This window comes from Homo sapiens, chromosome 16 (genome assembly GCF_000001405.40).
Source record: "Homo sapiens chromosome 16, GRCh38.p14 Primary Assembly".
In the NCBI taxonomy this organism is placed as follows: domain Eukaryota; kingdom Metazoa; phylum Chordata; class Mammalia; order Primates; family Hominidae; genus Homo; species Homo sapiens.
Window position 1 is genome coordinate 70208949 of NC_000016.10, and position 9858 is coordinate 70218806.

Here is a 9858-nt window from a genome sequence, read left to right on the forward strand (position 1 = left end):
AACGTGGGAGGCTGAAGTGAGAGGACTGCTTGAGCCTGGGAGGTTGAGGTTACAGTGAGCTGAGATCACCCTCCTACACTCCAACCTGGGCAACAGAGCCAGACCTTGTCTTAAAAAAAAAAAAAAAAAAAAAAAAATTCTGGGTTTCTGGCATCTCAAAAAAAAAAAAAAAAAAAGGAAAGGTCAGGGCACATGGCTGCTACAGTCCTCTATTAAGCAATGTGCCACAGCAGGGGTCCCTGACCCCTGGGCCATGGACATGTACTGGTCTGTGGCCTGTTAGGAACTGGGCCACAGAGCAGGAGGTGAATGGTGGGTAACAATTGAAGCTTCGTCTGTATTTCTGGCTGCTCCTCATTGCTTGCATTGCTGCCTGAGCTCTGCCTCCTGTCAGATCAGCAGCATCATTAGATTCTTACAGGAGCATGAACCCTGTTGTGAATTGCACACACGAGGGATCCAGGTTGCATATTCCTTATGAGAATCTAATTCCTGATGATTTGTGGTGGAACAGTTTCATCCCAAGACCATTACCATCCTGCGCCCCATCCCTTGCCGCCTGTGGAAAAATTGTCTTCCACAAAGCCGGTCCCTGGTGCCAAAAATGTTGGGGACTGCTGTGCTTTAGAATCTGCCATGAATCTGCAGCCTCTATTATATAGTTCCCTATAGACTTTGCTTCCTACCGTCTTACGTTCTGCCTTATAGGCATCTCAGTTTGCAACCCTTGTTTTTGTCAGTATGCTACGCTGGTGACATTGACCAAATTGACCACACATTAATGATAAGCTTAGTTGGTGATGACCTCAACGGAATAACGTGACATAAGTATTGTGACAATACTTCTTGCATGTATCTACAGGTGGAATTGTAAACCTGGTGGTCCGAGATGGTCTAATTCGATCTTCCTATGTATCTCCTTATATTAATAGTGGTAACATTTGTGGTGGTGATTCAGCGTTTCAATGCCTCTTCTCACGGCAACAACAAACGTTTTCCTTCTGAATCAACATTAACCTAGATGTTACTGCAGATCAAAATTAGTATCTACATTTTCAACCACAGAAATATTGGGCAGTAAAAATTTTTCTTAATATTGATTGCCTACATAGGTTGTGTAATTAGCATATGTTTATAGTTCTATGATTTGTGCCTGGCTGCTACAGAGCTGGAGGGGGTAAAGCAACAGTGTTTTCTCAGTTGTGTGAGCAGCATTACATTATAATAAATAGGTAATATTAAACTGGGCTGATGAGAGTTGCAAAAGACTACTTTAATGTTCATATGGAACCAAAAAAGAGCCCGCATTGCCAAGACAATCCTAAACCCAATGAACAAAGCTGGAGGCCTCATGCTACCTGACTTCAAACTATACTACAAGGCTACAGTAACCAAAACAGCATGGTACTGGTACCAAAACAGACATATAGACCAATGGAACAGAACAGAGCCCTCAGAAATAATACCACACATCTACAACCATCTGATCTTTGACAAACCTGACAAAAACTAGAAATGTGGAAAGGATTCCCGATTTAATAAATAGTGCTTGGAAAACTGGCTAGCCCTATGTAGAAAGCTGAAACTGGATCCCTTCCTTACACCTTATACAAAAATTAATTCAAGATGGATTAAAGACTTAAATGTTAGACCTAAAGCCGTAAAAACCCTAGAAGAAAACCTAGGCAATACCATTCAGGACATAGGGATGGGCAAGGACTTCATGTCTAAAACACCAAAAGCAATGGCAACAGAAGCCAAAACTGACAAATGGGATCTAATTAAACTAAAGAGCTTCTGCACAGCAAAAGAAACTAGGATCAGTGTGAACAGGCAACCTAGAGAATGGGAGAAAATTTTTGCCATCTACTTATCTGACAAAAGGCTAATATCCAGAATCTACAAAGAACACCAACAAATTTACAAGAAAAAAACAAACCCCATCAAAAAGTGGGCAAAGGATATGAACAGACACTTCTCAAAAGAAGACATTTATGCAGCCAACAGACACATGAAAAAATGCTCATCATCACTGGCCATCAGAGAAATGCAAATCAAAACCACAATGAGATATCATCTCACACCAGTTAGAATGGCGATCATTAAAAAGTCAGGAAACAACAGGTGCTGGAGAGGATGTGGAGAAATAGGAACACTTTTACACTGTTGGTGGGACTGTAAACTGGTTCAACCATTGTGGAAGACAGTGTGGCGATTCCTCAGGGATCCAGAACTAGAAATACCATTTGACCCAGCCATCCCATTACTGGATATATACCCAAAGGATTATAAATCATGCTGCCATAAAGACACATGCACACATATGTTTATCGCGGCACTATTCACGATAGCAAAGACTTGGAACCAACACAAATGTCCATCAATGATAGACTGGATTAAGAAAATGTGGCACATATATACTATGCAGCCATAAAAAAGGATGAGTTCATGTCCTTTGTAGAGACATGGATGAAGCTGGAAACGATCACTCTCAGCAAACTATCACAAGGACAAAAAACCAAACACCGCATGTTCTCACTCACAGATGGGAATTGAACAATGAGAACACTTGGACACAGGAAGGGGAACATCACACACTGGGGCCTCTTTTGTGGTGGGGGAGGGGGAAGGGATAGCAGTAGGAGATACACCTAATGTAAATGACGAGTTAATGGGTGCAGCACACCAACATGGCACATGTGTACATATGTAACAAACCTGCACATTGTGCACATGCACCCTATAACTTAAAGTATAATTTAAAAAAATAAGTAAATAAATAAAAAAAGAAACAATTGCTGGCTTTGCAATTCTCTTTCCTCCAAAATCACCAAGGCCTCAATTTACTCATTGCTGAAAAAGGACGACTGTATATTTTTAAATGAAGAGTGTTGTTTTTACCTAAATCAATCTGGCCTGGTATATGACAACATAAAAAAACTCAAGGATAGAGTCCAAAAACTTGCCAACCAAGCAAATAATTATGCTGAACCCCCTTGGGCACTCTCTTAATTGGATGTCCTGGGTCCTCCCACTTCTTAGTCCTTTAATACCTGTTTTTCTCCTTCTCTTATTCAGACCGTGTGTCTTCTGTTTAGTTTCTCAATTCATACAAAACCATATCCAGGCCATCACCAATAATTCTATATGACAAATGCTCCTTCTAACAACCCCACAGTATCAGCCCTTACCCCAAAATCTTTCTTCAGTTGAATCTCTCCCACTGTAGGTTCCCATGCCGCCCCTAATCCCGCTCGAAGCAGCCCTGAGAAACATCGCCCATTATCTCTCCATATCACCCCCAAAAATTTTCGCCACCCCAACACTTTACCACTATTTTGTTTTATTTTTCTTATTAACATAAGAAGACAGGAATGTCAGGCCTCTGAGTCCAAGCTAAGCCATTAAGCCATCATATCCCAGTGACCTGCATGTATACATCCAGAAGGCCTGAAGCAACTGAAGATCCACAGAAGTGAAAACAGCCTCAACTGAAGACATTCCACCATTGTGATTTGTTTCTGCCCCACCCTAACTGATCAATGTACTTTGTAATCTGCCACACTCTTAAGAAGGTTCTTTATAATCTCCCCCACCCTTAAGAAGTTTCTTTGTAATTCTCCTCACCCTTGAGAATGTACTTTATGAGATCCACCTCCTGCCCCCAAAACATTGCTCTTAACTCCACCGCCTATCCCAAAACCTATAAGAACCAATGATAATCACACCACCCTTTGCTGACTCCTTTTTCAGACTCAGCCCACCTGCACCCAGGTGAAATAAACAGCCATGTTGCTCACACAAAACATGTTTGGTGGTCTCTTCACACAGACACGTGAGACAGGAGTTCGAGACCAGCCTAGCCAATCTGGTGAAACTCTGTCTCTACTAAAAATACAAAAATTAGCCGGGCATGGTGGCGGGCACCTGTAATCCCAGCTACTCGGGAAGCGGAGGCACAAAAATTGCTTGAACCCAGGAGGCAGAGTTTGCAGTGAGCCAAGATCACACTGTCTGGCATCTGAGCCCAAGCCAAGCCATTGCATCCCCTGTGACTTGCACGTATACATCCAGATGGCCTGAAGTAACTGAAGATCCACACAAGAAGTAAAAATAGCCTTAACTGATGACATTCCACCATTGTGATTTGTTTCTGCCCCACCCTAACTGTTCAATATACTTTGTAATCTCCCCCACCCTTAAGAAGGTACTTTGTAATCTCCCCAACCCTTAAGAAGGTCCTTTGTAATTCTCCCCACCCTTCAGAATGTACTTTGTGAGATCTACCCCTGCCCACAAAACATGGCTCTTCACCCCCTATCCCAAAACCTGTAAGAACTAATGATAATCCACCACCCTTTGCTGACTCTCTTTTCGGACTCAGCCCGCCTGCACCCAGGTGAAATGAACAGCCATGTTGCTCACACAAAGCCTGTTTGGTGGTCTCTTCACACGGACGTGCATGAAACACACGACTGCACTTCAGGCTGGGCGACAGAGCTAGATTCCATCTCAAAAAAAATAAAAAGGAGTCACCTCCCCTGAGAGGCCTCTGGACCAACCCATCTGAGCAGGCCACTCTTCCTTCTCTATCTTACCATCTTGTTTCTGTCCCAGTAGTTAGGGCTACCTCCAGTAATCCTATTTGTCCCTTTACTGTTTAGTGCGTCTCACTTGACTAGAAGCTCCATGAAAGCAGAGATCCTACCTACCTCCTTCACCACTAGACCCCCAGGGCCTGGTATGTGGTGATCGCTCAGGGCCCATTTTCTTCCTTTCCTCCTCCTCCAAGGGTGGGGAAAGAGCATCAGAAGGTCTAGGTGGCCCCAGGCCCAAACAATCCTCCTTTAAAAGGAAACCAGATTGTTACAAAGGTCAGAGGCTGAAAAGTTATTTCCGCCTTTTATCCCTCTAAATTCTTCACTTCCTGAAAAAACAAACAAAAAAAAGCCACTGAGGGCCCTTGGACTAAATCCAGGCCTGAGTTGCTGGGCAGAGGTCAGTCTTGTCCAGACATGGGAAAAAAATAACTCGAGTCAGACAGGTGGGTCACCAGAGAACGAATCCAGCCTGCAAATGGTGTGTGCAATCTTCAGCTCTGTCCAGACCTGCCTCCCTCTGGGGATGCCTTTAAAGGTGATGAATGACCTGGATGAATGGGCTTAGAAGAGGGAAAAACAAATATCACAGGTCAAATCATTATTTGTCTTCAAGTTTAACACCGTCTACTGGACTGAAAGATGTCCAAAGAATAGTTGTTCAACTATGTAAATTCCTTTTTTTTTTTTTTTTTGAGACAGAGTCTCGCTCTGTTGCCCAGGCTGGAGTGCAATGGTATGATCTTGGCTCACTGCAAGCAACCTCTGCTCCTGGGCTCAAACCATTCTCCTGCCTCAGCTTCCCAAGTAGCTGGGACTACAGGCATGTGCCACCACGCTCAGCTAATTTTAGTATTGTTAGTAGAGACAGGGTTTCATCATGTTGACCAGGCTGGTCTCGAACTCCTGACCTCAGGTGATCCACCTGCCTCGGCATCCCAGAGTGCTGGGATTACAGGCATGAGCCACTGTGCCCAGCCAACTACATAAATTCCTAACAACGTATCTCCAGAAAGTATAGGCACAACAGCACATGCAGTCATTCCTGTAATCAGGTGCTCCGGGAGGCCAAGGCAAGAAGATCCCTTGAGCCCAGGAGTTTGAGACCAGCCTGGACAACATAGCAAGACTGTGTCTCTATAAAATATACAAAAATTGGGCTGGGTATGGTGGCTCATGCCTGTAGGCCCAGCACTTTGGGAGACCAAGGCAGGAAGATCGATTGAACTCAGGAGCTTGGGACCAGCCTGGACAACATAATGAGACCCAGTCTCTACTAAAACTCAAGAAAATTAGCCAGATGTGGTTGCATGTGCCTGTAGTCCCAGCACTTTGGGAGGCCAAGGTGGGTGGATCACCTGAGGTCAGGAGGTTGAGACCAGCCTGGCCAACATGGCGAAACCCCATCTCTACTAAAAATACAAAAATTAGCCCGGTATGGAGGCATGTGCCTGTAATCCCAGCTACTTGGGAGGCTGAGGCAGGAGAATGGATTGAACCCAGGAGGCAGAGGTTGCAGTGAGCCAAGATCGCACCACTGCACTCCAGCCTGGGCAACAGAACAAGACTCCATCAAAAAAAAAAAAAAAAAGAAAGAAAGAAAGAAGAAAAGAAAATTAGCCAGGTGTGGTTGCATGCACCTGTAGTCCCAGCACTTTGGGAGGCCAAGGCAGGAGGATCAATCAAGGCTAGGAGTTTGAGACTGCAGAAGGAAACCCTGTCTCTAAAAACAAGGTCCAGCTAAAATCAGGGTCCAGCTCCACCACAAGCGCAGCTCCAGGGTCTGTTGAGTTTTGCCTCTACCATTCCAAGTAGTCCCTGCTCCAGACCAAGTCCCACCATCTGGCAGTCAGGTCAGTCCAACCACAGTCATATCAGGGCGCTTCCCGGTTCTTTCATTGAGTGCCCCTTGAGGAGGCTGGAGGAGAGGCCAATGACATTTGCACTTGAGACTCCAGAGTCTAGATTTATAACCACTATGTTACGGCTGCCAGTGTGGCTGCAAGGACACTTCTTTCATTCATTCATTTACAATAGATGTAGCATCTGCTGTGTGCCAGATGCCATTCTAGGTTCTAGGGAAACAAAGCAAAGCCCCTGTTTTCCAAGGCATCCACATTCTAGGAAAGACTGCTACCAGCCTGGCGTGGTGGCTCATGCCTGTAATCCCAGTACTTTGGGAGGCCGAGGTGGGCGGATCACTTGATGTCAGGAGTTCAAGACCAGCCAACATAGTGAAACCCCGTTTCTACTAAAAGTACAAAAATCAGCTGGGCATGGTGGCACGTGCCTGTAGTCCCAGCTACTCAGGAGGCTAAGGCAGGAGAATCGCTTGAACCTGGGAGGCAGATGTTGTGGTGAGCCGAGATCACGCTACCGCACTCCAGCCTGGGCAACAGAGTGAGACTCCATCAAAAAATAGTAATAATAAAATAAAGACTGCTACTAAACAATAAAATAACCAAACCAGATAGATGACTTCAGGTGGTGGTAAGAGCTTTGAAAGAATAAGCAAGGTAACTAACTGGTCAGAGGAAGGGAGATGGGTGCATTCCCTCAGATAGACCGCCCCAGAGGTCTGCCTCTCTGACATGACATTTGAGCAGAAACCCAACAGGAAAAGGAAGAGACTGCTCTATGGCCAGGCACGGTGGCTCACACCTGTAATCCCAGCACTTTGGGAGGCCCAGGCGGGCGGATCACGAGGTCAGGAGATCGAGACCATCCTGGCTAAGACGGTGAAACCCTGTCTCTACTAAAAATACAAAAAAATTAGCCGGGCGTGGTGGTGGATGCCTGTAGTCCCAGCTACTCGGGAGGCTGAGGCAGGAGAATGGCGTGAACCCGGGAGACGGAGCTTGCAGTGAGCCGAGATTGCGCCACTGCACTTCAGCCTGGGTGACAGTGAGACTCCATCTCAAAGAAGAAAAAAAAAAGAACCAAGAGGAGTCCAGGAGAAGAGAACAGCAGATGCAAAGGCCCTGAGGCAGAAACAATCTTGGTATGCGGGAGGAATAGGAAGGCAGCCAGTGCAGCTGGAGCAGGATAGGTTAAGAGAGGATCAAGGTGATGAGGGCCTGGAAAGAGGGGCTGGGGTCAAATCACCAGATCCTGTTGGTTGCAATGGAAGAGCCTGGAGTTTATTCTCAGGGCAGTGAGAAGCCACTGGAAAGTTGTTTTTTGTTTTTCTGTTTTTGAGACAGAGTCTAGCTCTGTCACCCAGGCAGACTGCAGTGGTGCAATCTTGGCTCACTGTAACCTCTGCCTCCCAGGTTCAAGCGATTCTCCTGCCTCAGGCTCCCCAGTAGCTGGGATTACAGGCACAGGCCACCACACCCATCTAATTTTTTTTTTTTTTTTTGAGACAGAGTCTCTGTCACCCAGGCTGGAGTGCAGTGGCACAATCTCAGCTCACTGCAACCTCCACCTCCCAGGTTCAAGCAATTCTCCTGCCTCAGCCTCCTGAGTAGCTGGGACTACAGGTGCATGCCACCATACCTGGCTAATTTTTTGTGTTTTTAGTAGAGACAGGATTTCATCACGTTAGCCAGGATGGTCTCGATTTCCTGACCTCGTGATCTGCCCACCATGGCCTCCCAAAGTGCTGGGATTAACAGGCGTGAGCCACCGTGCCTGGCCAGCCACCGGAAAGTTTTATGTAAGCAGGGGAGTGATCTGTTTTATCATTTAGAAGGATACACACCTCTTCTTCTTTTTTTAGAGACAGGGTCTAGTTCTGTCACCCAGGCTGGAGCCCAGTGGCACAATCATAGCTTACTGTAACCTCAAACTCCTGGGCTCAAGTGATCCTCCTACCTCAGCATCCCAAAGTGCTGGATTACAGGCATGAGTCACCATGCCTGGTCACACTTCTCATTCTTTAAACCAGACCTCATTTGTCCACCTCCCCCATCCCCCGCCCCACCCCACGGACTGTCCTATAATGCCCATACAACAGGTCACTGTTTAGAAAGTGCCACAAAGTTACAAACACAGTCCCTTCTGAGCCTCCCACCAATGTTGGTGGGTGCAAGGTCAAAAAAAAAATCTCATCTATCTAAGGGGCATAGGAGACTTTTTAGTTAGAGGGCCCAATTATAGTCCTCCTGAAAAGATGCCAAAAGTCCCCTTAAACACTTAGCAAAGATTCAAGAAAGATGAATCTCACATTCTTTGTATGGGAAATGAGGAACTTGACATCTTCAATATAATAGATTCCACTAAAATAAGATGACGATCAATAGGAACCAACTAAAAAAATACTTGACTAGCTGTTATTGAAAGGCTGAAATTCAGCTGACATAAGCAGTATTAATATTGAGCTAGAAAATAATTCGCATTGAATTCAGCCCAACTTTTGTTTTCTGATTTGGGTCTCTTCTAAATTTTTTTTTTCTTCTGGACATTGGGAACAATCCAATTTGAAGGCCTCAATGCCCAAATCTACACTCGTTTTATTCTATATCCTTGGTTTCTTTTTTTTTTTTTTTGAGATGGAGTCTCACTCTGTCGCCCAGGCTGGAGTGCAGTGGCGTGATCTTGGCTCAATGCAAGATCCGCCTCCCGGGTTCATGCCATTCTCCTGCTGCAGCCTCCTGAGTAGTTGGGACTACAGATGCCCGCCCCCACGCCCGGCTAATTTTTTTGTATTTTTAGTAGAGACGGGGTTTCTCCATGTTATCCAGGATGGTCTCAATCTCCTGACCTCGTGATCCACCCGCCTCAGCATCTCAAAGTGCTGGGATTACAGGCATTAGCCACCGTGCCTGGCCCACACCTGGGTGATTTTTAAAATTCTTCTAGTAGAGACAGGGTCTCACTATGTTGGGTCACCGTGTTTGATGTCAGTTTTCCCTGACAGAATCTACAATCTCCTTGATCACCATTATATCCCAACACAGAGCTCAGTACCTGGTACAAAGCACATTTGATCAATACTTGCTGAATAAAGAAATAAAAATGAAGAGGCATTCCAGCCTGGGCAACAGAGTGAGATGGTCTCAAAAAAAAAAAACAAAAAAAAAAAAAACAAAAAATGACTGGAAAGGAGATGAGGGTACTTGTGAAGCCATATTATATGACACGCTCTGTGCTAGGACTTTTATATACCTTGTCTCATCTCTTCATCTCATATAATCCTTACAAGTATCTCAAAAGTGGGGAAATCCCCATATAACTGAAGAGGAAGGCAGTTCAGAAGTTCACTGATTTGCCCTAAGGTTCCTCAATTTGTAAACATCAGGCCAATGATCCAACCCCA